Raw genomic sequence first — 27,671 nt, 5'->3', positions numbered from 1 at the left:
AATGTTGCAACAACCTTGTATTTCCATCTCACTTGGTCATGGTGAATTGCCTTTTCTTATACACTGCCAGACTTAATCTGCTCATATTGTATTGTTGATATTTACATTTATGTTCATGATGAATACTGGTCTGCAGTTTTCTTTTCCTGTAGTGCCTTTGTCTGTGTGTGGTATCAGGGTTATTTCAGGCTCATAAAAAGCAATGGAATGAAATAATTTTCTCTCTGTTTTCTAAGAGATTGTATCAGATAGGTATTATTTATTCCTTAAAATTTAATATTTATCAGTGAAACTATCTGAGCCCAGAGTTTTCTTTCAGGGAAGGTTTTAGATTATGAATTAAATTCCTTAAATATATAGACTATTCATATGTGCAATTCCTTCTTGAGATGGTTTTTATTAGTTTTGTTCAAGAAACGTTTCCATTCTATCTGAGATATGCATTTTATTGGCATAAAGGCATTCATTACATCCCCTTATTATCATTCTAGTGTCTACATTCCCTTATTATCATTCTAATGCTACTTGCTCTTTCATTTCTGATATCGATCATTTGTGTTTTCTCTTCTTGATTAGCATTTCTAGGGCCTTATCAACTTCATAAATCTTTTCAAATAATGAGTTTTGGTTTTGTTAATTTTCTCTATTATTAATCTTTGTCTTCTACTTCATTGACTTCAGCTTTTTTCCAGTTATTTCTTTATTTCTGCTTAACTTTGAGTTTAACTTGCTCTTCTTGTTCTAACTTCTTAATGTGGAAACTTAGATCATGATTTTGAACCTTTTTTCCTTTCTAACATAGGCTTTTAAAGCTATAAAATTCCCTCTCCATACTGCATTAGCTGCATCCCAGAAATGTTGATGTCTTGTGTTTTCATATCATCCAGTTAGAAGTTACTTTCTAGTTTCATTTGTGATTTTCCCTTTGACCCGTGGGTTCCTTAGATGGGTTTTTAATTTCCAGGTATTTGGGAGGATAATCTGGATATTTTATTACTGATCCCTGATTAAATTCTATGGTAGTCAGAGACCATATCTTGTAAAATTTCAAGCTTTGGACGATTTTTAAGACTTATTTAATCAACCAGTATAGAGTCTGGGTTAGAAAACATTCTATGTGCACTTGAAAGAAATGAATATGTATTCTATACAGTATAGTGTTTTGTACATATTGATTAGGTTAGAATAGTTGATAATGTTGGTAAAATCTATTTCCTTACTGATTTTTTAAAAAACCTGATTTGTTCTATCAATAGTAGAAGGGAGTTGTCAAATTTCATAGCACAACCCTGGAACTTTCTATTTCTCCTTTTATTTTTTATCAGTTTTTCCTTCATGTATTTTAACATTCAGTCACTTAAGACAGCTATGCCTCCTGATGAATTATCATTTTTATTCTTATTAGAACATGGCCTTCATGAGGTCATGGACTTCATTTGTTCTGTACAGAACAGCGCCTGACACATAAGAGATATCTGTTAGATGAATGCCCACCCACCTGATCTCATCCTCCCAAGCACCCTGTTAGGTAGTTATCACCCCATTTCATGGATGAGGAAGCAGACTTAGAGAGAGTGAGTCACTTCTCCAAGCTGCTTTCTATGTAGCTACTCCCCGCTTTTCTTTCTTCTCTCCATCTCCCTTGGGTAAGTAGTAGTTGTGAAGACTGAGCAATGGGCCCACAACAAGATTCATTTACAGCTCACAGAAGATGCAGTCTACCCTAAGTATTCCCTGCCTCATCTATGTACCTCCAATCTCTACAAAAGCATCAGGCACGGATGTTACTACTACTAGTACTACTATTCATATTACTGCCCAGTACTGTGATTCCAAGCACACTTGTAGGAATCCCCAAGGTTCCTCACAAGTTCCCTGAGCACAAACACCAGGGAGATAGTTGAGTCATTGAGCTCGTATCAAACTCCCTGGCATTGTATAAATTAACAGGAAGCGTTTACCCTTTTAAAATGGTTGGATGGTAAATAGAATGTGCATTGTGACACCAGAGACCCTTGAACATCTTGGAATCCTCTCATCTCCAACCAGAGGCTGATGCATTTTCTAGAGGCACTGGACTTCTGGGCCCTGTGGGGCCAGCAGCAACCTCTCTGATGAGTAGGCTGGGGTTGGCCAAGGCCAGGTGCTCCCAGCCCCAGAGCTCTGGGTCTTCCCCTGTAGGGCACAGTGCCTGCAATTAACACAAGCTTCTGGGAGCTCACTCCCAGAAAAAAAGACTTCTTTGAATTCTGCTCCCAGCTTAGGGTCAGCTAATGCCATCTGTGGTGGCTGGTACAGGGTGATAATCGGCTCTGAAGCCATCTCTTTGAGCCCTAGGATAGATGCCAGTCTGCACCAGAGCAGGCAGAATATCCAGGCTGCAGCCCTGCCAGGAATTGCTCTCAGGAAATAGAACACCCCCACCCCCTCTTTTCTTTTGTTTAAACTTAAACTGGGAAGATGCTGAGTTGCAGGGTTATGAGGAAGGGAGTATAGGACTGTTGCAGCTTTATATGCTGATATTTTCATTTTTTTAAATTCCTGATCATGAAAAAAGCAATACAAGAGTGATTTTTAAAATAATCACTTTGCATTCTTGTCAGAGCAATGGATTGCAAAGCGACAGTGACCCGACATTGCCTCCAAATGTTCCAGCCTCTGCCCTCCTTAGCGCCTGATCTGTCTCTGGTTGAGGCGGACTCTGCTGTTTGTCCAACATGGGGCAATGCTGGCTATTTCTCTGTAGGAATCCAAGCGCTTATTAGGAGAAGGTGGAGGGGTATGATGGGAACAGCTCCAGACGAGATGGGAGAGCTTTGGGGTAAAACCTTTATGAAGATTAGAAAGCAAGTCTCCCTCATGTTGCAAACCCCATAGTGATTTTATGGCAGCTTGGAAGAGAGGATTCCAGAGACAAATTGCTTTTGAGAGGGTGGACGCTGGGCCATACGTTTATCACTGGGCAGGTGAGTTATCTTGAAGAAAAGGATCAAGTGGAAACCAGGTCTAGCAAAACAAGCCTGACCCTTAAGTGGGGCCAGCCCTGGGAAATTCCGTGCCGTCATGCGTCGGAGCCCAGAGGCAGCGCAAGCAGTTTTCATAGAAGCCTGCGAAATCCAGACAGAGCTCACTAGCCAGATTGACTTTCCTGTTCATTTGCAGGGTAGAGTGAACGGTGTTGACATTACAAACATTCCATCTTCACTGATTTAAAGACAAGGAGTTCTGTTTACTTTCACCCTAAACAAAGAGGCTCCTTCTTGCTCAGCTGGAAGGAGCCATCCCTGAGTTGCTAAATATCACATAAATCTCATGACGTGACAGAAACCCAGGCCTCCTGGAGCTCATCACCAACTTTTTGCAACCAAGACTCCCAGTAATGCTAATTATGCAAATATCCTGCTTTCCCCACATACTGAGTGGACTTGATAAGTTTTCTTTTAATAATTTGCTGAGAATCTGCAATGCTGTAAGTACTTTATAATCATTACTTAATTTAATCCTCACAATTGTCCTCTGTAGTGAGATGAAGAAAATTGTAGTCACTAAATTTCCACCTAGGAAGAGAATTGCACTTATTTAGAAATCATGCCTTGAAAACTGCTTGGGTTAGAAGGTAGATCCCTGAACTCTCCAAGAGTAAGAACAGTGGACCTTCTGCAGGTGAAACTGGAGAAAAGGTAGATGAGAAAGAAAGAGAGCGAGAGTAAGACAGAGAGCGAGCACAAGAGAACACAGAAGGCCCCTTCCACCACCCCAAATCTTCAGCAAATTCTACATAAATCATGAAACTCTTAATGCGAGTAGATTTCTGTTTTTCTTTTTTAATTCAAAACTGTCAGGGGGCTGGGTTCTGTAGTCAGAGTCTTGTGATAAAAACAGACAGAGCGTTAGAGGACACAGGGGTGTGGTGGTCTAGGGAGCCCAAGGAGGTCAGATCTGGGAACATCCAGAGAGTGAGAGATGCTGCAGACACCACAGGGTCTGGAAGGTGTGTTTGGACGAAATTTACCCAGTCTGTGAGGCGCATGGAGGCCCTGGAAAGGCTCCGGGTCCATGTCTATGGTAGACGTTTCCTGCTGTCATGGGTCACCTGCATTTTTGAACATCCTCTCTGTGTTTGGGTCTCCCCCACCTCAGGAGTCCACCTGTCCCGAGTTGGAAGTCTGAACTCATGTTCCTGGATTCCTCCCATGCATCTTGGTGCTGGTGTGGGGCCTGAACTCAGCCAATCCGCAACACCTCCAGGAGTCTTCCTCTTAGATGCTGAGGCCACGGAGAAGGAAGCAGCACAAAGAATGAACCCTGGAGAGGGTGCCAGAGGCAGGCGGGTTCCAGCCATGTGGCGGCACAGCCTTACTGGGATAGTCTAGCTGTGTCACTCAGGTACGGTTGCTCTCTGAGAAGCCGCCAAACCCAACCCTTTCACACACACCTAGGATGATTTGAAGAGCTACCTAATAACCTTTCATAAGGTTCTGAAAGCCAGCCAGAGTGGTTGTGATCAGTAGTAATGAAGAGCCTTCTTTCACTGACATTCCACTTTTTACAGATGGGGAAGCCAGGCTCCAGCAGTTACAAAACAAGGTCCCATGACCCCTAGACCCTACTTGCAAAGCTGGGATTGACGCAAGCTCATCTAACTCCAAAACCCAAGCTCTTCCCACTGTGACAAGGGAGGGGACAAATAGGAAAAGGCAGTTTGAGCTTTTCTGGGAAAGGAAAGAAATGAATACCTTGGCCTTTGTCCAGATGTGGCCTGCAGAATAAATCCTATGTGGCAAGGCCGCTTAACCTCTGCCGGGGCTGTGTCATTACGGTGATTCTTCACACTAGTTAAATGCCACGGTGAGGATGGCACGGGGGAAGAAGAGCTCACGGCAGGCGCCATCTCCAGAAAGGATCCACTGCAGGTGGTTGGTGAGTCCAGATGGCTCCCCCAGATGACACTGCTGGGTGGCAACCTAATTATTTTTCATTAACTTTTAATTATGGAACATTTCAAACGTGTGCACAATTAAAGAGAGTCGTACAATGAACCTCGTGTGTCCGAAACTCAACTTCGACAACGATCAACTAAATGCCCAATCTTGTTTTATCTGTATCTCCACACACTTCCCCCTCATTCAGGATTATTTCAAAACAAACCCTGGATTTAATCATTCTAGATTTAATAATTTTATTCACTACTATTTCAGTATGTATGTCTAAAAGATAACAATATCATTTTTACACCTATAAATTAATAATAACTATATAATAGCATCGTTTAGTCTGTGTTTATGTTATTTTTTCTGGCTCGTGCATACTTTCAAAGTTTGGCTGAATCAGATCCCACTAGGTCTCATAAGCTGCAGTTGCGTGCTAGCAGGTGGTAGCTGATGTGCCTCTGAAGTGCTTTAATCTATGGGTTCCTTCTCTCCACTTTTTCCCTTGCAGTTTACCTGTTGGAAAAACAACGTTGTTTGCCTGATAGAGTTTTCCATAGTCTGGCTGATTTCATCCCCGTGGTGCTATTGAACACATTCCTCAGTGCTCCATTTTTTTCCTGTAAACTGGTAGCTAGACCTAGAAGCTTGATCAGATTTAGGTAATTGTTGGGTGTTCCTGCTGTTGTTGTTTCGTAAGATTTCCAAAAGGAGTCTCATAACGCCTGGTGTCTCTTTTTTTGAGACGTTAACAGCCATTGGTGAGCATTGTGCAGATAATGCATTCTCAGTGGGGACAATATCACCCCCGCAAGAAGAAGAGCATTGGTCATCAGGGGACAAAAGAAAATCTTAATCTTTTAATGTATAAATCGTATGTATATATACACAAACACAGTATGTAACAGATATGTAGTACATCTGTGGTATTAAAATGTCATGGTGTAGGTGATTAGAAATCAAATGCCTAAAAAGTTGAGAAACACCGTTGAGATCTGCTAACTCAGAGGTTGCACACACCCCTGAATGAGCAGATGACACCGTGTCAGGGCATCAGCAGGCAGGACAATCATGGAGCTAAGTGCTGTGGTGAAATAAATCCTGTGTTACCATTAATTCAGTAACGAGATGTTTGTATACATGGTAAGTAGCCGGAAGTGGTAAGCAAACTTCATCGGTGGCAGTGATTTATTCATATTTTTATGCCAAGCTGAATGAGCTTTTTTTTCTTTCATTAGCTCTCTGGAATCCACTGACATCAGCAGCATGGGGTTGACAGGTGTCCAGGTTGCCACTGTGGTCCCTCGTTCTCTCCCTCATGTGCCTCTGGCCAGGCACGTTCTTGGTCCTCAGAGGACAAACTTCCTGACCGAGCCAGCATTGGTCAGGAGTTCGCTGCACCCTTTCCCCACCTCTCTTACTCAGGGCGCAGGCCTCAGGCACAGGGTTGCAGCCCTCCCCTTTCCCCCACACCTCCCAACAGAGAAACCTTTGAGGAACATCGCTGTCCGTTCTCTGCTCCTTTGCCACGCTGAGCGAGCTAGCTGTGGCCAGATGTGAGCGGTGTGCAGGACGGACAGTGCAGGATGTGGCGGGTTGTGCAGGGCCCATACTGCCTGGCTGTAGGGCAGGAGTTGAGGGGTCCAGGAGGAAAGGAGGGCTGGGCAGAATGAGGAACCAAGGTCAGAGAAATGAGCTTCAGCCCCTAGGACTCTCGATGGACATGCCTATCCCAACAGTGCTGCAATGATCTGTAAGTTACACCGCCCTTTTATTCATGTTACCCAGCTCCTAACCTTCATGCTGTGAGCTAGGAAAGAGCATTGTCACTGTCCCCATTGTACAGACAAAAAAATTAAGGCACAGAAGTTAAACAACTTGTCCCAAATCACACAGACAATTAGTGGTGATTTTTAAATTCTCTGTTAATTCCCAAAACAGCCCCATTTTACAGAGGAGGAAGCTGACGCTCAGAGTGAGGAAACAGGGAGCTGGGATTTCACTTCCCACCTGTGTCTCCCCAGCCCTTGCACCTTGAGGGAAGCTGCAGGCCCCTGGACCTTCCAAAGACCCTGCTCTTGGTACTGTACGCCACTCACTGCCTCTTATACAGCAAGCTGCAAAGGTCCCCTTCTCAACCAGTCTTTGATCTGACTGGGGAGAGTGAAGGACAAGGGCCTAGAGTTGAGAGTTAGGCTTAAAATGATGCAAGTGTACCCAAGAATCATCTCAGGTGAGGAGGCCAGACTGAATCAAGCAGGACCACAAGGTCTGCAAGGCTGAACTCTTTCCTCTCCTTCCTTTATCAACGCAACCCTGACGACCACCCTCCACAGACCCGGACCTGCTCCTCTCCCATGCCCATTCCCCTAACCTCCCGCCACTCACACCCTTGCTGGAGTGCCCTGAGGTGGAGATGGTGACTTCTGTGATGGGAATGTTTGCTGAATTTCATCAGTTTTGTTTTATGGCAGCTGTAAAACCAGACAATAATCGCCAACAGGTTGAGCTGCCCTGTGTCTCTTGACCACTTCTGATCTGTGGTGATGAAACTTGCCGGGAAAGACCCCAGGGGCCCTAGCTTCCCTGCTGCTGTGTGTGTAGCCCGTCCCTCGCACCTTGGAAGCAGCCAGTCTCTGTTCTAAGCTGGCTCAGTGACACCTAAGGAAGGGGTAGGTTCTGTTCTGATGGTTATTGCGCACTCTGACTCTGGCTGGATTATGCTGCATCTTTGTTGTGCTTTTAAGCTAGAAAATTCTCTATGGAAACTGGGCTACATCATTTCTTGTAATTGAATCAAAGGCTGACATGGGATAAAAGTGGCCAAATGTGGCATTCTCAGCTAAAGGAAGCAAATTATGCCAGGGGCATGTTTGGGTCTGAGAATTCCTTACTCCTGGTAGAATGTACTTATTTTATGTCAGGCCCTCTCCTAGGGACAAGGACACTAAAGAAGCAAGGCAGACAAAGGCCCTGCCTTACATTCTAGAAGATTCCATGTCAAAGTGAGACATACTTTGGGCATGGGCTATGAAGTAGGACTTCTTAGTGTATTTCCTTTAAATTGCGTGTTTCCCAGTGGGTTAAACAGCTGTTCCTGCCCTGTTCAAGAAGTGTGCTGAAGTAGCGAAGGGCCAGGCTTTGCAGATGGGCAGACCTGTGTTCTACTGGCTCTACCACTCTTCAGCTATGTGACTTACGCAACTTCCTTAACTGCTCCGTAGTATATTTTCTTACCTGTAAATTGGGGATAATGCCACTGTAATAACAGGATTGCTATAAGGTCGAATGGAGGACATAGGCAAAGAGCTCATCCTGGCACCTGCCACACAGCACCCAGTAGGCGTACCATAACTGATCATTATTATTCTTTCACTGCTTGACAGACTTATTTTTTTCTGCTGATTTGAAATGAGTGTCAGGGTTTTGAAGCAATGTCCATTAGGTTAATGGGGTTGGAAAATTTGGAGAGCTGGGAGTTTTCTTTTTCAATGATAGGGTAAAATCTGGAACTTGAGGAGTTACATTGATCTGTCAGGTAATGATTCAGCCTACCATCCAGGGTACAGCTTCAGCCAGGGAGGGCAAGGATGGTGATCATGGGGATGCCTGGCTATCCTTACCTGTGCCAGCACCTCTACTCCATCCCACTCCTCTGCCCTGATCCCAACATAGTCCTGGAATTTTTTCCCATGCAGTTGAATCAATTGATCTTGCCTGAGTGCTGAAGCTGTCTGTCACCTCTAACCTAGACTATTAGAGTGGCAAGAAATCTGCTAGTTCTTTTTCATTTTTAAGTAATATGATGTTTTAAAGTGCAGCTTCACAGAGTCCTGGAATTTAGACAATGTGAACATTTCACAGGACTGTTAGGTGTACATGAAATTCAGTGTTGCATATCAGTAGGCATTTGTATTTATATAACTATTCTTGCATGGATAGCCACTTTCCTACATCTGTTTTTATATGATTACCTTAATAGTAGACCCAAAACCTCTCTCCCACTCTCCTTTAACCCAGTATTCAGAAGGGATATGTTACTTATAAAAGATTAGAATTTATTGATTTTATGCATGACTTTTTCTGAGCTTTGCTGGTCATGCAGTTTTATAGCTTTGCTGTTAGGTTTTTTGTTTTGTTTGCTTTTAAATTAAGCCAGGAAGGCCAATGATTTCTCAAATATAAGCAATTTCAACTAGTTTCAGCCTGTAAACAATTACCATGGTGTACTAAGTGGAATAGTTCTTACCGGGACACAGTATGAACAGCATACTATAAATTCTTCAGACCTCAGCAGGTCATATAATCATGGAACCTGGGAGACTCTTAACCCATCTTAACCTTCCTGCCTGCAAAAGACTGGTCAGATTGGCTATGTCTCTTACTTTCTCAAGAATCTTTCATTGCTCCTATTCTTTGTAATTTAAAGTTCAAGCTTTGGCATATGCTGTGATTTGAATGTTTTTGTCCACTTCAAAAATTCATGTACTGAAAACTTACTCCCCGATGCAACAGTGTTGTGTGGTGGGCCTTTTGGGGAGATGGCTACACCATAAGGGCTCTGCCTTCATGAAGGGATTAGTGCTGCTATAAAAGGGCTTGCGGGCACGGGTCACTCTCTTCACTCTTTTGCCATGTGAGGGCACAGCAGTAGTCCCTCTGGCTCTCCCACCTCCACCGTGTGAGGATGAAGTAAGAAGGTCCTCACCAGAAGCCTCTGCCTTGATCTTGAACTTACCAGCCTCCAGAACTGTGAGAAGTCTATTTCTGTTCTTTATAAATCACCCAGTCTCAGATATTTTGTTATAGCAGCACAGACTACGACAACGTGCCTAGGCCCATCAGAGTCTGCCCTCCACCCACCTTCTCAGCCTCCTCTATGATCCTCTTTTCCCAGCCTGAAGCTCACGTCTCCTGACTGCTCTGGCCCAGTATCTGCCACACTCTTCATGCTTTGGTGCCTTTGTGTCTTGTCCCTCAGCCTGGAATACCCTTCTCTCTTTCTCCCCTGCAGTGAATTCCTGCTCATCCTTCAAGATCAGTGGAAAACATAGCTCTTCTTTGAAGCCTTCCCTGACCAGCTCTGAGCACAGTTAGTTGTTCCTTTCCTGGAGGTCCAGTAGGATCTAGAGTCACTGCCTCCTTGTAGAAAGACCCTTCACATGGTACCAGAGATGGTAGTAAACATGCTTGAGTCAGGAAAGACTTTTCCAACTTTTATTACTGTACTAATGCATTTAACTAACACAGATATGGAGACACTGTGTTGATGCCAGAGTATCTGTTATATCCAAATAAGGATGACTAAGTAAATGGATCCTCCATCAGAATAATATTGTTAGAATTATACCAATGCTGCCAATCATCTTCCCTAATTTTATTAAACAAATCCAAATGATATTTTCTTATTCTCTTGATTTTTTTAAAAAAGTACTTTAAAAAAACTTCCACTTAAAGGGTAGGGCTGAAAAGAGGGGTAGAGAATGTTTTAGGAGAGTGTTGGAATTGCAGGACATGGGTAACTGCCCTAGTCTTCCACAGAGATGCTGTGGCAAAGAGTGGACATGAAGCCTTCAGGTCAGATACTAGATTTGTGTTCAACGTTGCTATATTTAGATAACTTTTTGAGAAAGCAACTGTGGCAAACATGATCGGTTGCCTCCTGACAGCTATTCTCCCTTCTCATTTTCTCATACAATTCCAATTTTCAGAAAGAGGAGTTGGCAATGTGCTCAACCCAGAGGATCAGCCATAATTTATCTAAGTAAATCATGGCAACCACCGTGTGCCAGTGATCACTGTAGGCATGGGGAGGTGAATCACTTCTGGCCAATACAATCTAAGTGAAGTACGCTGGGCAGGGAAGGGGCTTTGGCAACAGTTCTCCCTACATGATGAGAAAGGAGGTTGCTCAAACTTTGGGTGTTGTCATGTGAATACCCAACGCTTAGAACCCCTATGGTGATTCTGTAATCAAGGTGGGGAGCAGCTCCCATCCTCTGAGGTTGGCAAAATGGGAAAATTGAACCTGAGTCTTTGAAAAAAGTCATGATGAAACTAAGCCTGGGCCACCCACTCTAGGACAGGACTTCTTGTTAATAAATAAAAATATGTCTTTTTGTTTTAGGTCACTGATGGGTGAATTTTCTGCTGCTTGCAACCAGATGCCTTCCAACTAAATCAGTGGCTAAAGTTTTTGGGAGGTTGCTATGGTTTGAATGTGTCCCCAGATTTCAAGTGTTGGAAACTTAATCTCCAAATTCATGTGTTGATGCTTTTTGGAGGTGGGGCCTTTGAGGATGTAATTAGAATTAGGTAAGGTCATCTGGGCAGGGCCTCCATGACTTATAAAGTCATGGCTTTATAAGAAGAGAAAAAGAGATCCCCCACCATGGGATGACACAGCAAGAAGGGCCTCACCAGATGCCAGCACCTTGATATAGGACTTCCCAGCTCCAGAATTGTAAAAGTTACCCGACATGTAACATTCTGTTATAGCAGCAGAAAATTGACCAAGACAGGAATCCAGGACCAGGTGGGAGATTCTTTGAAAAAGAATTAAAGATATTGGTGATCTCAGATCTACACCAATGTACTAAGTCCAGAAAGAGAAGACATTTGCATGTAGACTCCTAGAAGAGAGATAGGCTTGATGAAAGGAATCCAAGTGGTGAGGTGAGACATGTGGCGCTTTGGGAACTGGAGGATATTAAGAAGTATATGACTCAGTAGGAATCTTAACAGTTGCCTGAATGATCGAAAAGGGCTCAGGGTGGGAAGATTCTTTTGAACTCCCAGTTATCCCACATTCAAAGTCCTTAAATAGTACCTGTGACACTTACAAGACGTGTGAGTGAAGAGAGCAGCCTCCTTGCAGGAGAAGCGTGGGGGTGGCAGGTCAGGGTGGGAGCAAAGGGAGGGATGTTGCTGGGCTAGTGTGAGCTATGCCAGAGGAAATGGATGAAGAACTGAAGGCACAGAGTAATGCGTTAAAATAATTATGGGAAACCCAAGTTGGCAGTAAGAACCATCAACAATTGTGCAGTCTACAGGGGGACTATGAGGAATAATGTTGTATAAATGAGAATTTGTATCATATGTGCAGAGTGTGTGTGTGTGTGTGTGTGTGTGTGTAAATGACAGCTGGGAATGCCATTCAGGGTGTATTACTGTAATTGAATTGGAGACCTCTCCTAGTTTGGGGAGTTATATATTTGGAGTTTTTACCTGGACAGGGAGAAAGCCCGGGGGGGCGGCGGTGGGGGGGTTGGTGGTGATGTCCCAAATAGTCTATTGAGCTCCATCAGGAAATGTTTCCCAGTCAAGCCTCCCCATCTGGCCCAGACTGGGATGCAGGAGTCATAGCTTTCTTCATACCTTATCTTACACCCAGCCCCAGTATTTATATGTTTATATGTTGTCTCTGTAAAATGCTGTCAGCCCTTCAAGCACATGAGCTTTGAGAATATAATCTCTAACACAGTACAGGAGCACCTGCTCAGCAGTTAGTAAACACTGCCAGAATGAACAAGAACCACAGTAAATGTAACATCCGTTGCAAGAATAGATAGAAGTATGGAAGGTTGACTTTGAAATACTTTATAACATTGGTGCCTTGGTTAGGGATGTGAGTAAAATGCCTCTAATGTGTCTCTTGAGTTGATGTTTGCATTATTGGATTGTGGTTGTGGGTACAGTGAAAGAAATGTGTTTTTACCTCCCTTCAGGCCACTTCTCCAGGGACAGCTGCCTGGATCAATCTTGGCTACTCAGGTTTCTGACGGAGGGTTTCTGTCACTTGATCATCACATCAGCTAAGGGTTAAATAGTGTATATAAAGTAAGACAAAACAAAACAAAGCAAAATTTAAAAACCCACATCACATTCGTTTTGGACCTCTGCAAGATCTGCACTTTTCATACACGTTTAGATCTCTGATAGGAAAATGGTGCCCTCTTGGTCTGCCCTGATTAAATGTAATTGGCTGCAGACATCTGTGGCACACAGATGTCCTGCCTGCACTCGGGAAGGGAGAGTGACACTCTGGGAGGGTGGGAGAGCTCTCAGGGGAACTTTTCCCCTTTCTTTATCTAAAATGAAGTTCCCTGACTCCCTCCTTCCAACTGTGGACTCCAGAAACAGAAATGAAATGGCAGTTAAAGGAGCCACACAGACGCCTCCCTGCATGTGCACTGAGGGAAAAATTAAAAGATGAAAAAAAAAAAAAAAGACATGGACTGAAATGCTTACCTCCCTGATCTTATACAAAATGAAGTTTCTCCCACAAGCACTGCACTGCACTGATTTTTTTTCTACCAACAGATAAGATCAATCAGATTCGTGTTTTGCAACTACTTCTTGGCAAGACGTACGGGACTGACCGCAGTTGACACATGCCAATAGGGGGAGAAATCTGAAGACGTGTTTCTGTGCAGTGGTGGCACCCAGGGGCTCTGGCCAGAGGAGGTCACAGGAAGATGCCTAGCGGCCCGTGGAGCGACCTGCCCCGCATTGTCACTTGACCGCTGGTGTGCGAAGGGGATAACACTGTGTTCAATGTGTTTGTAACCTTGCATGAAAAAATTGAAGAAATGTCACTTTCTTCTCACCCTCTCCCAGGCCAATCATCTGTCATGAATTCAATATGAGGCAAACGTCTGGTGATCACAGGGACAAACTAGGGATAGGCCTTTGGGAGAGGAATCTACTCAGTTTGTGTTCAACCGGACTATCCAGGTAGGGGAGCTGGCTGGAGAGGGAGCCAGCATTTGTTGACTGTAATCTCTGAGCTAGGGTCGCAATTACATCTTCTGCATCTTTGTGTGCATAGTACCAAGCACAGAATTATCCAGAGTAGACACTCAATAATTGTTTGTTGGAAGAGTCATTGTTGCTTTTGCTTCCAAGCCCCTCACAAATTTCCACACAGTGCAGTTGAGCTCGCACAGTCAATGAACAGTTTATATCTGATTAATAGGGGCTGATAGTCTGAGGTGGCCTGCCTTCTTGCAGAGAAAGTTTGGGGTGGGTTACTGAGACAGGCTGGATTCATGGGGTGAGTTGGCTCATGACCCAACATAGCCAGGAAGCAAAGCGGATATTCCTCTGAATTTTGCAGGCCAGGTGTGGCATGTGTCTGAAATTTCAGCTGCTTTATCTTTATACCCATCATTTTGGTAAGACTATGTGTCCAATCTGAAATTCACCAACAGGACAGGGCCAGCTGCCAGAACTGAAGTCCCAAGAAGAAAACCAAGCAAAGCTGAGACACAAACCTGAACTTTTGAACTTGTCAATCTACTGAGTCAACTAACTCTGGGACTCCCATGTCTGGACTTCTTCATGTGTGTTAACCTATCTTCCTTGTTGCTTTTGCCACAAGGTGTTCTGGTTCTTGTAACCAAACGCATCCCATCTGACTCACTGGGCACCTGACTCCAGTTGTGTAAAACAGGCCCAGATAGCTTGCCTTTGCCTCCGTTGGCGTGTGGTGGACAATTGTAAATTTCCTTGTAAGGTATATTAGTCCGTTCTCACGCTGTTATAAAGAACTGCTCAAGACTGGGTCATTTATAAAGGAAAGAGGTTTAATTGACTCACAGTTCTGCACGGCTGGGGAGGCCTCAGGAAACTTACAAACATGGCAGAAGGGAAAGGAGAAGCAGGCGCCTTCTTCATAGGGTGGCAGGACAGAGTGAGAGCAAGCAGGGGAAAATGCCAGATGCTTATAAAACCATCAGATCTCATGAGAACTCACTATCATGAGGACAGCATGGTGGTAATCACTCCCATGATTCAATTACCTCCCACAGGGTCCCTCCAACGACATGTCGGGATTATGAGAACTACAATTCAAGATGAGATTTGGGTGGGGACACAACCAAACGATATCATAAGGTATTTTCTCCAATCAAATATCCTGGAAACCCCATGTTTATGGTATTCCATTATGGCAGCCTGAACGGAGTAAGGCAGCTACTACCAAAGGACAGAAAATCACAAGTGCTGGAGAGGACGTGGAGAAACTGGGATCCTTCTGCACTGTTGATGGGAATGTCACACACATCTCTGTGGCAAACAATATGGTGCTTCCTCGAAAAATTCAACATGGAATTATCATGGGATCCGGCAACTCCACTTTTGAGTATACACCCACAAGAATTGAAAGCAGGTATTCAAACAGGTGTCCGCACATCTGTGTTCATAGTAGCATTACTCACAATAGACAACAGCTGGAAGCCATCCAAATGTCCACTGATGAATGAATAAACCAAATGTGGTCCATATATGTAATGGGATATTATTCAGCCCTAAAAAGGAGGGAAATCCAGTCCCATGATACATCATGGATGAACCTTGAGGATGTTATGCTAAGTGAAATAATCCAGACACAAAAAGACAAACACTGTATGATTCCACTTACATGAGGTTCCTAGAGTAGACAAATTCACAGAGACAGAAAGTAGAATGGTGGCTGAGGAGAGGAAGGAGCGGGGAGTTGGTGTTCAAGGGGTACAGAGTGTCAGTTCTGCAAGACATGAAGCTTTCTAGACATGGTGTATGCAATTTAAATATATTTAATATGATTGGACTGTAAATTCAAGTGGTTAAGATGGTAAATTTTATGTGTATTTTACTGCAACTTAAAAATGAGGTTATTAACTTTTTTTAAATTTTAAAAGAAAAGTGGAAGAAATAAAAGATGGGTACATCAAATGTTTCTTTATGATCATGAACAACACAAAACAATCTGTAAAAAGGTAAATCTTCCTGTAAGCAAAATAGAATGTTTGTGTGTCGAGAGGGGGTGAGGACGTTTAAACTCAGCTCGATAGCTAAGTTTATGTTGCACATATGGGGCTGAGTCTCAGGCAAGAGTCCAGGGCAGGAGGCACAGAGCTGAGCTCCACAAGAACTGTGAGAATCGCTCAGGAGGACATGGAGGGCAGTGGTCCTCACCCAGGGCACGTTTGGCAAAGTCTGAGACACTGCTGCCTGTCACAATCAGGGGAGGGAGAATGCTGCTGGCACCCAGTGTGGAGTTCAGGAATGACTAAACATCCCACGGTGCACAGGACAGTCCCCACGACTAATGTCCCAAACGTCAGCAGTGCCGACTTGAGACCCGCAGCCTGGATGTTCTATGCCAGGTGCCTGCACTGCTCCTGGGGTGCTGACTTCCGTTGAGTTCCCGTGTGCTCTGCACGGCCTGTTCCCTCTGCACCCCTTCCTCTTTGGGGTGGAGATGAAGGAGTGAGCTTGTACAGTTATGGAAGGCGAAGACAAAACAAGGCTTTGTGAACCTGTTGTGACAATGCACTTTTGCATATAGTACTATGGTTTCTGGCGTGTACTATCACAGCCCTCAGTATATAGTCAGGTGCACCTTTATCATAAATAAGATAGCACCAGTATGATAGTAGCTAGCCCCGTGCAAGCACTAGAGATGTGTCTGGAGCAACGGAGGAGCTAAGTTCTCAATTTCATTTCATAGCAGTTAATTTGAATAGCCGCTGGTGGCCAGCAACTACTGTATTGGACTTTGCAGGACTAGCATGAGAGAAGAGGAGGGCCAAGGAGCGTAGGTCATTCTGTGAGAGGAGGTCACTGATAATCTGTCACACCTAAGAGGACCATCTGCAGGTTACCATTGAGCCGGGCAGGTCACGGCATTTCTGCCTCTATTTCCCCTCATTGCCCTCTGTGCCTGTTTCCAGAAGGGCCCCAAATAGAAGTTAGTATCAGAGGAGCTCCCTCCCTGTCTTCCTCCCTCCTCCCTCCCTTTTCCCCCGGCAGCCAGCTGTGTGCCAGGCATCTTCTTAGACACAGGAGCTCCGAGAGGATTAAGACATGGTCATCACCCCTTATGTGGAGTGGTTTGCTCTGGGCTGTGGAGAGAAGTGAAAGCTCGTTTATTTCCTTGCTGGGCAAGTGGGGCCGAGCCCGAGATGACTTCTCCTTATCACTGCTGCTGCAGCTCCCTTCAGACGTCATTTAGGCGGCTGATAATGAGGGCTTCGTTTGCTGCTGGGAGGAGAGAAGGAAGAGTTTGACAGACAAAGGCCCAGGAGAGACAAGGAGTTCAGGCAGGGAAATGGAGGCTGGGGTTTGAGTGCATACCCCAATCAATTCCAGACACGATGTTTGATCTCCACACAGGAAAGAGGTATGAGCTGGTGGGAAAGGCGCGCAGTGTCATGTCCAGGCCCAACTGGCAGTTTGGGACACTAAGTGGTGGTGAGGGGCCCTGCCCTCAGCCTGTGCACACTTCCTCGCCCCATCCACACTCATCCATTCTGCCTGGGACCCTGGGGGGACGCACCACGCAGGGCTGTGTGCTCTCGGTGCAGCAGCGTTCTCAGGGGATTAGGCCATGCCCTGCGCCACAGCCTGCGGGCCGTGGATCCCAGCCTACAGCTGAGGTGGGTCCAGGGGCTGGCTTTGTGGCAGAGCCCATCTGGGAAACAGGAGTGGGGCTGGGAGAAATGGGTGCCAGGCAAGTGTGGACTTCATTCTACCCTGGGCTTCTGAGGCCTGAGGACACTGCATTAGCTTGGACCCATACTATGCTGAACAGCCACTTCCACAGAGATGACTTGTTTGCTTCAGTAAGACTGGAACCATGTCTGCCACCTGGGCAATCCTTCCACAGGTATCGCATTGCTGAGCACAGAGCGGGTGCTGTGGAGGTTCAGGAGACCTCTCAGAGGCTGGGCCCTGTTACTGGCAGGTGATCTGAGCATGGTGAGCCTGCTGCCTGAAGGTGACTTGGACATCATTGACACCGGGTTGTGGAGAGCATCGTGACTTGCCTTTGCAAGAGATTCGCTCTCCTAATCTTGTTTTGCCCAGGATGCCACTTGAGTTTGCATTTCCCGCACACACACAGCCCTTCTCTTAATACAGTGTGGGTGAGCTGCAGATAAGCAATGTGTAAGGAGACACCGTTGGGACTAAACACTTTCCAGAATAATCTACCATAGGAAATTAAAGGAGGAACTTATTCCACTGCTACCCTTATTTTGCAGGATGGGAATCTGGGGTACAATATAATTTTATGCCCATTCCAGTTCAAAGCTCTTCCTCAGAGTTTTTTTTTTTTCCAAAGGAAAACTGGAAACCATGTTTTTCTTGGTCTGTATGTCCTCAAAGGACCGACATAACTGACACAGCATGAGGGGCAGCTGCCAAAGGCACAGTATTGGCACCAGTGGAGGATGTCCAGGTTCTTGGCATCTTGAACAAAGAATAGGACAAAATGTGCAAACAAAGCAAGGAAGGAATGAATGGATTTATTGAAAATGAAAGTACACGCCACAGTGTTGGAGCAGTCCTGAGCATAGGGGCTCAAAGGCCCGTTCCAGAATTTTGGGGAGTTTAAATACCCTCTACTTGGAGTATGCCCTATGTAAATGAAGAGCATGAAGTAAAGTTACAAAGTCATCTACGGCGTACGCCCTATGGAGTGGATATTTCCTGTCATAGCTGAAGTGTGAATCGGCCTTATATTCCCTGCCTCCAGACCCTATTTTCCTGCCTCAGTATCACCGAGGCTGAGACTTGGCCTGCATAGCAGAAAACTTCTAAGTAACAATAGCAGAAGCAGGATAGAAATACATTTCTCTCACAAGCAAAAAAAGGCTCACTGATCAGTCATAAGTAGGTCCAAGGTGTGATCAGGGACACATAGTCCTGTCACTTTCCTTTGTCTTTTTCCATCTGTGACTTCTGGACAGAAGCTTTCCTAATGGTCTAAAATGGCTTCTGGAGCACCAGCCATCATATCCGTGTCCCAGAGTGGCAGAAGAGAGGGGAAAAAAATACCTTCTTTAGGCTAAATCAGCTCTCTTAAAGCAATCTTTCTTAGCATAAGAAAGACTAGCAAATGGGGTCTTTTAGCTGGGTGTGCTGCCATTCTGAAGAAAACCAGTGTTCTGACACTAAGAAAGGGAAGCTTCTCCCATGACACCACGCCCCATTTAATACTGGAGATCATTTCTGATGCATCTCACTACTTCCATTGTGCCTAGCACACCACCTGGCCAGAAATGGAGCTGGTTTGTGTTTGTCAAATGTTAATGAAAGCTACCCTCAAACAGCTACTTTCAGCTGTCTAGGACATTGATGGCTCATTTTGCAAGACACCTGCTGGTGCTGGGGATAGATAAACCAGGCTATTGCAGTGGACTCTAAAATGTGATACTACATACTTGGGCCACCCCTAGAGCTGTTCATGTGGTCATATCTCACTTTTTTTCCCCCAGTTCTTTAAGAGATTTTCTTTTTTTGGTTATCTTATTCTTCTTTGGTTTACAGAAGTAATATACAAAAATTCATTGCAAACGAGTTTCAAGCATTTCAGGACAGATAACATAGGACGTGAGAGTCCTAATGATTGCATCTTCTAGAAACACCACTGCAGGGCCAGTTGCAGTGGCTCACCCCTGTAATCCCAGCACTTTGGGAGGCCAAGGTGGGCAGATCATGGGGTCAGGAGATCGAGACCATCCTGGCTAAAATGGTGAAACCCTGTCTCTACTAAAAATACAAAAAATTAGCCAGGCGTGGTGGCGGGCGCCTGTAATCCCAGCTACTCAGGAGTCTAAGGCAGGAGAATCACTTGAACCTGGGAGGTGGAGGTTTCAGTGAGCTGAGATCACACCACTGCACTCCAGCCTGGGTGACAGAGTGAGACTCCGTCTCAAAAAAAAAAAAAAAAAAAAAAAAGAAAAAGAAAAAGAAACACCACTGCTACCAGCTCAGTGTTTGTTTTTCTTTTTGGAGATAGATATATAGAATTACAGGGAGCCATACTTGCCTTTTCACTTAGTAACATATGTTGGAAAGTTTTTGATATGTCTCTACATTGATCTTTATTATTTATTCCATTATTTTCAACTTTTTGTGACATTAGAATGTTTATCAAAGTAACACACTATTTAAAAATAATATCAGGCCAGGTGCGGTGGCTCACGCCTGTAATCCCAGCACTTTGGGAGGCTGAGGCGGGTGGATCATCTGAGGTCAGGAGTTCAAGACCAGCCTGGCCAACATGATGAAACCTCGTCTCTACTAAAAATACAAAAGTTAGCTAGGCGTGATGGCAGGCACCTGTAATCCCAGCTACTTGGGAGGCTGAGGCAGGAGAATCACTTGAACCCGGGAGGCGGAGGTTGCAGTGAGCAGAGATCACACCACTGCACTCCAGCCTGGGTGACAGAGTGAGACTTTGTCTCAAAAAAACAATTAAATAAAAATGATACCAATCAGTTTATGTTTCTTCTTCACTCATCCCCACTTTCCAAACCTGCTCAAACACATATTAACTTCTTTATCATTTTATTTTGCTAATTACCTTCATGTTTCTAAATAAATGTTTTTTCTTCTATTTGTTGATTCATCAACATTAAACATATTCTGTTTATTTTGTGTTATCCTAGATGGTTATTTAATTCTCTTATGCCTGCCTCTCCTTAGGTCCCCAAATAGTTAGATCAGCATGTTTTAAAAACAAGTTAATACTTAGGATTTTTTTACTACATAGTCCACTGTTGAGACAAGTATTGTATTAAGGTGATATTTCATTTCTTGTACAACTTCGATTTTCCCAGAGTTTTTTTTTTTCACTTGCATTGTTTTCCATGAGACTATTCTCAAAATTTGCAAACGGCTCCAACAGATGTTGATCAGTAATTTTTACACAAGTGCTCCCTTACATCACATAGTCCACTCTTTTACTCAGTCATTTGTTTGCTGATTTATTTAGCAAACGTTCAAGATGCCTGAGTTTCTCCCTCTTTTTCACTTTTGTCTTCTAGTAATTCTTTTGAAGCGTGCACATCTGGGGGCCACCAGCCCCACAGACTGGCCACAGACTCTATTTGCCACATTCCCTGAAGGCGGGAGTGGCCGGGGTCAGTGGAGAGGCCAGGCTTGAGGGGAGGTGTGGGTTGGGCATGGTCTCTGAACTGCCTGGACTCCTCTGTAAGGACAGTTTTGTGGGCTCTCTTCATGGGCACCTCGTGCACTGTTGGTGAATTTCTGGGGGAAGGCATCATCCGCCCTGTGGCTGTTGAGAGCGGAACTGGCTTCTCTTCGGTCTTTCAGTTGTTCTCTGTAATTCAAGGCCGGCTTCTTGGATGGATGACCTGCGCAGTCACAAGAGACCCCACACCCGGAAGAGCCCTGTGCTCGGTTTAAGGCTCTGTCGTTGCTGTCTTGAAATCTTCCTAACCGCGTCTCTGAGATTTTTGTAAGCCTGGTGGGACAGTACAGCAGCACCTGAGCGATACGCACGTCCCCGGCCCCGGCCACCCACTTCGCACATGGCGCTCGGGATGCCCTTATGAGCACAGAATTCTGGTGGACCCGGGAAGCACAGGACTCCAGGAAGCCTGAGCAGGTGCAAGGTAAAAACACATCCCATCCGAGACTCAGTACGTCGGGCACTGACAGCCCCCAAATTCTAGACTCTCCCCCTTGAAGCAGGACTTGCTTGCAGAAAGAAGGTAGAGCTGTTCTAAGAAACACAAACAGCCAGGGAAACCTGCCACATTCCTTCTTTTTTTTTTTTTTTTTTTTTTTTTTTTTTTTTTTTTTTTGAGATGGAGTCTCGCTCTGTCACCCAGGCTGGAGTGCGGTGGCGCGATCTCGGCTCACTGCAAGCTCCACCTCCCAGATTCACGCCATTCTCCTGCCTCAGCCTCCGGAGCAGCTGGGACTACGGGCGCCCGCCACCACGCCTGGCTAATTTTTTTTGTATTCTTAGTAGAGACGGGGTTTCACCGTGTCCGCCAGGATGGTCTCGATCTCCTGACCTCGTGATCCGCCCGCCTCGGCCTCCCAAATTGCTGGGATTACAGGCGTGAGCCACCGCGCCCGGCCACCTTCTTGTATTAACCAATCACTTATGCTGAAAAATGTCATAGAAGGAAAGGGGAAAAACAAGACAACTGTGGTTCCTTCTCCTTTCGGTGTTTCCTTTCCCCACGAGTAAGCCCAAGGCACAGGGTGTTGGCAGAATGTGCACGTGTCAAGAAGCGAAATAAAAACAGCTGAGCGTGGTGGCTCATGCCTGTAATCTCCACTTTGGGAGGTTGAGGCAGGCGGATCACGAGGTCAGGAGTTCAAGATCAGCCTGGCCAGCATGGTGAAACCCTGTCTCTACTAAAAATACAAAAAATTAGCTGGGCATGGTGGCACACGCCTGTAATCCCAGCAAATCTGGAGGCTGAGGCATAAGAATCGCTTGAACCCAGGAGGCAGAGGTTACAGTGAGCAGAGATTGCACCACTGCACTCCAGCCTGGGTGACAGAGCAAGACTCTGTCTCAAAAGACAAACAAACAAACCAACCAACAAACAAAAAACAGCTGAGTGCAGTGTTTCTGTTGTCTGGCAAACATGGAATACCCACACACACAAGTATTAGCTACAAAATAGGGAGTATGTCCTTTCAATGATTCCTCAGACAAGTTAAATGCTTTCATATATGCATTTAAAACTGCCAAGGCACATTGTAAAGATGGACAGAAAAAAAATCATGCTAATGATTTAAATTTTTAACTTTTATTTACCTAGAAGAAGTTTAAAGAACAAACAAAAAGCACCGAGTCAGGTCAGCAGAAAGACCACAGGAAAGAGGAATAAATTTTATATTTTAGTGCTTTTAATGTCACTCTTTTTTTTTCTCTGCTCTTTTGATAAGGGGCCCCACATTTTTAATTTGTACCAGGCTCCAGAAATGATGTAGCTTTCCCAAATCTTTCTTTTGATTCAACTGGGAGGAATTGTTTAGGTTACATGTGTCTATCCAGGTGCTGAGGCAATAAGGTTTTAAGGAAAGTTTTGATCAGAATCGTTGTCTCTGAGGAATTAATAATATGACTGGAGACGCTGGATTTATACACAGACTAGACAAATCCAAGACTGCATAAAATCTAAAGTAAGCTGAGGATGCCCATAAGTAACAGAATAGAGAAGAGAGAGAAGTATTGCTTGCTTAAAAACAGCCACCATGAATGAAAAACTATTCTGAGATAGGCCTTATGAGAGAGGAGGCAGGAGTATCCCCTAACTCTACTATGTTGGTATTTTCTGAACCCCAAATGGGGATACTGAGGGTGACCCATCACTCAGCAAAGGAACAGAATGTTGAAGCGTTTGGCCATTTTCTGAGTAATGATTCTTTGTTTTCTAGAGCTCCTTCCTTTCTCCACTGCCCATTTCAGATTTGGACCTGGTACTTCTTACTTACAACACCTGCTTGTGTTCCCCGACGCCCACAGGGCTGTGCCTTCCTTCTTCAGAAGTCACAGGGCTGTCTAGCGCCTGAGTCACTGCTGTAATTAGCGACACACACACCAGCCGGTCCCTTTGCCTGGTTGGGAAAGGGACAGCTTTTTGGCAAGAAAAGATCACCCAGAACACCCAGAACTAAATATTCTCTGGTTCCTATTAGCCCTGGGCTTCTTACAGCACTAATTAAACCACTGTTTTGTCTTCTTAGCCATTAATATGCTGAGATCACAGCCCCCGGGTTGGGGGAGGAAGGATAGTGCAGAAAAAAACGGTAATTCCCTCCCTCAATCAATAGGTGCCTGTACGAGGAGGCAGAGCCCAGGGCACACATGCACACACACAACAGCCAGATTTCTGCTCTCAAAGGCAGCGGATTTCAGGGGCATAGCCAAGGGATTTTGCAAAAAAAAAAAAAAAAGCAAAAAAACAAGAAAAACTCCATGGTGCTATTTTGTGGAGAAGTGACCCTCTCTGTTTCCACCGTTTAAATCCTGCTCCACCATCACATTGCAGAGCCCACTCTTTCACTCAATCATTTATTTGCTTATTGATTTATTTAGCAAACATGCAAGATGCCTGAGTTTCTCTTTTTCACTTTTGTCTTCTAGTAATTCTTTTGAAGCATGCACATCTGGAGGTCACCAGTCCCCACAGGCGGGCCATAGACTCTATTACCACATTCCCTGAAGGTCGGGATGGCCTAGGTCCGTGAAGAGGCCAGGCTTGCAGGGAGGTGTGGGGTGGGCATGGTCTCTGAACTGCTGCGACTGCTTCGTAAGGGCAGTTTTGTGGGCTTTTGAAGGCAGTGGATTTCAGGAGCATGGCCAAAGGAATCTGCAAAAAAAGCAAGAAAAATCCATGGGTGCCATTTTGTGAAGTGACCCTGGCTGCTTCCACCGTTTAAATTCTGCTACCGTGGGGGAGTATCAAACCATTCACTGCAGAGATGTGACTGGTGTATTACCTACCACCAGGGAGGGAGTGGCACCCAATGTTGGATGCATATCTCCTTACCATCCCTGTAACGCCATCCCTTTCTGTCTAAAAAAACATATTCACATACGTGTGAGTGGAAGCAGTGTTATTGTAGGAATTGCCCTGGAAACTGCTCTAATGTATTATTCTTTTAAGTAACATTTTGATAATAGTTGTTAATATTATTAGTTACTGTTATTCTAACTGTCCAACCCCATGGAACACCCTGGGGTCACACTCCAGGCAGAGGATGGTGAGTGCAGTTCATGCTTAGGGGCCCTCATTCTCCAGTGGAACCAGAGAAATGAGATTTTTCACCTGCAGCAAAAAGGAAATAGGGTCAGGACATAAACCAATTTTTCTGAAAATCTTTCTTTCAATTAATAAATACTAGTAATAAACATCCAAGAAAAAGGTTTGAAGTTCACAGAAAAGAATGCTGCTGCAAACAAAATTCTAAAATACCCATAATCTCACTACTCAGAAATACTTACCATTATCATTTTACCCTAGACTTTATTATACAAATTTTAAACATCCCCAAAAGGTTGAAAAATAATGTGACAAACATTGATATTTCTACCCCATGGATTCAATGATTGTTAACAATTTGCCTTATTTCTTTATCTTGCTTGACAATTTTCATTTTAGTTTATGATCTCTTATATTTTTTCTTTGCATATAAATCCTTCCCTCCCCATCAAATTGAGTTTGTAAGTGCCTGCTGGGGTTTTGAACTTGTAGTTGAAATACACACAACATCAACTTTCCTATCTTCATTTTTTTTGAGATGAAGTCTCACTCTGTCTCCCAGGCTAGAGTGCAGTGGTGCAATCTCCGCTCACTGCAAGCTCCACCTCCTAGGTTCACGCCATTCTCCTGCCTCAACCTCCCGAGTAGCTGGGACTACAGGCGCACGCCACCATGCCCTGCTAATTTTTTGTATTTTTTAGCAGAGATGGGGTTTCACCGTGTTAGCCAGGATGGTCTCGATCTCCTGACCTCATGATCTGCCCGCCTTGGCCTCCCGAAGTGCTGGGATCCTGTCTTCATTTTTTTCAGTGTATGCTTGAGTGGTAAGAACGCTCACGTTGTTGTGCAGCCATCACCATTTCCATCTCCAGAACGCTTTTCACCGTGCAAAAATGAAACTTCATACCCAGTAAACAGTAACGCCTCATTCTTCCTCCCTCCTCCTAGCTTCGAATAACTCCCCCCTTCTACTTTCCATCTCTATGAATATGACCACGCTAGGAACCTCATTTGAGTGGAATCACCCAGTATTTATCTTTTTGTATCTGGGTTATTTCTCTTAGCGTAATATCCTCCAGGCTCACATGGTTGTTGCAAATGACGGGATTTCTTTCCTTTCTAAGGCAGAGTGACATTCTACTGTATGTGTATGCCCATTTTGTGTATCCATTCATCTTTTGATGAACACTTGAGTTGCTTCCACCTTTTGGCTATTGTGAATAATACCGCTAAGAACATGGTATACAAATATGTCAAGACTCTCCCTTCAGTTCTTGTAGGTATATGTCCAGAAGTGGCATTGATGGAACATATGGTAATTTCATGTTGAATTTTCTGAGGAATGCCGTACTATTTTCCACAGTGGCTGTATCATATTACATTGCCAAGAACAGTGCACAAGGGTTTCAGTTTCTCCACATTCTTGCCAACAGTTAATACCTGTTTTTCTTATGGTAGCCACACTAATGGCTTTGAAGTGGTATTTCATGGTGGTTTTGATTTGCATTTCCCCAATGATTAGTGACGTTGAGCATCTTTTCATTGTTTGTAAGCCGTTTGTATATCTTCTTTAGAGAAATGTCTATTCAAGTCATTTGCCCATTTTATATTTATTTATTATTTTCTTACATGTCTTTAATGTTTTAAAAAGTTGTATTCATTTATGGTGTACAACATATTTTGATATATGTATATATTATGGAATGACTAAATCAATCTAATTAACATATCCATGGCTTCAAATACTTTTTTTTTGTGGTGAGAACATATAAAACCTACTGACTTAGCAATTTTCAAATGTATGGTACCTTATTGTTATCTGTAGTCACCATGTTGTACAATAGATCTCCAGAACTCATTCCTTCTACCTAACTGAAACTTTGTACACTTTGACCTATATCTCCCTATCCCCTTCACCCCCACCTCTGGTAAACACTATTCTAATCTCTACATCTATGAGTTCAACTTTTTTAATTCCACAGATAAGTGAGATCACACAGTATTTGTCTTTCTGTGCCTGGCATATTTCACTTAGCATAATGTCCTCCAGGTTCATCCATGTTGTTGCAAATGGCCGTATCTTCTTTTTTTTAAAGGCTGAATACAATATTCCATTGTATGCATATATACAACAATTTCTGTGTCCATTCATCTATCAGTGGACACATATCTTGGCTATTGTATATAATGCTGCATTGAACATAGAAGCACAGATGTTTGCATAAGATGCTGATTGTATTTGTTTTGGGTGTATACCCAATAGAGGGATTGCTGGGTCGTACGGTAATTCTATTTTTAATTTTTGGAGGTTCCTCCAAACTATATGTATGAATTTACATTCTCACCAACAGTGTACAAGGGTTCCCTTTCCTCCACATCCTCACCAATCCTTGTTATCTCTTATCTTTTTGATATTAGCCATCCTCACAGGTGTGAGGCATTTATTGTGGTTTTGATTTTTGTTTCCCTGATGATTAGTGATGTTGAGCACTTTTTTCATATACCTGCTGACCATTTGAATACCTTCTTTGGAAAATTGTCTATTCAGGTCTTTTCCCCAGTAGAACTATTTCCTTTTCGAAGTGTTTGTGGTTAGTGTATATACGTGCACCTGATTTTTGTGTGTTAATTTTGTATTCTGCAACTTTGGTAAATTCATTTATTAGTTTTAACAGGTTTTCAAAAATAAACTCTTTAGGGTTTTCCACATATAAAATTATGTCATCTGCAAACTGAGATACTTTTACTTCTTCCTTTCTAATTTGGATGCTTTTTATTATTTTTTTTCTTGCATAATTGCACCAGCTAGGACTCCTAGTACTATGTCAAATAGAAGTGACAAAAGTAGGCATCCTTGTCTTGTTACTGATCTTGGAGGAAAAGCTTCCAGTCTTTCACCACTGAGCATGATGTTAGCTGTGGGCTTTTCATACATGACTTTTATAATGTTGAAGCATCTGAGCCTACTGTTTTTGAAATCTTCTTTTTCAACTTAATGTGTCATCTACGTGTCCATGTCATTATTACTCTAAAATATAATATTAAAGGATGTATTTAATAAGTTTTGATTAAACAAAGTGTTCTAGTTGTAGAAAACCCAGAAAACACTGCTATGTAAAAGATTTTCAAAAATCACTCATGCTTCTTTCTGTGGAGGCCCCTGTGTGTATTCTGAAAACCATTTGTTCTTATGTGTTTATTTTTAAGTTAAACAACT

The 27,671-nt window shown here is 43.9% G+C and overlaps 1 long non-coding RNA gene across 11 annotated transcripts in view; it reads left to right on the top strand.

Annotated features, from left to right (window-relative positions):
- Positions 1–27,671, top strand: part of LOC100507336 (uncharacterized) — a 126,588-nt gene that overhangs the window by 52,032 nt on the left and 46,885 nt on the right. For 2 of the 11 annotated variants that reach the window (NR_187646.1, NR_187650.1), the window contains exon 2: positions 4,141–4,386. The exons of 8 other annotated variants lie outside the window; for them this stretch is intronic. This is a non-coding gene — a long non-coding RNA (uncharacterized LOC100507336). Of the gene's footprint in view, positions 1–4,140; positions 4,387–13,250; positions 15,645–27,671 lie in introns of those variants that run through there. One more of the 11 variants, NR_187651.1, reaches the window with a different exon arrangement.

Source organism: Homo sapiens, chromosome 6 (genome assembly GCF_000001405.40).
Source record: "Homo sapiens chromosome 6, GRCh38.p14 Primary Assembly".
Lineage (NCBI taxonomy): Eukaryota > Metazoa > Chordata > Mammalia > Primates > Hominidae > Homo > Homo sapiens.
This window is presented reverse-complemented; position numbering and strand designations above follow the sequence as displayed.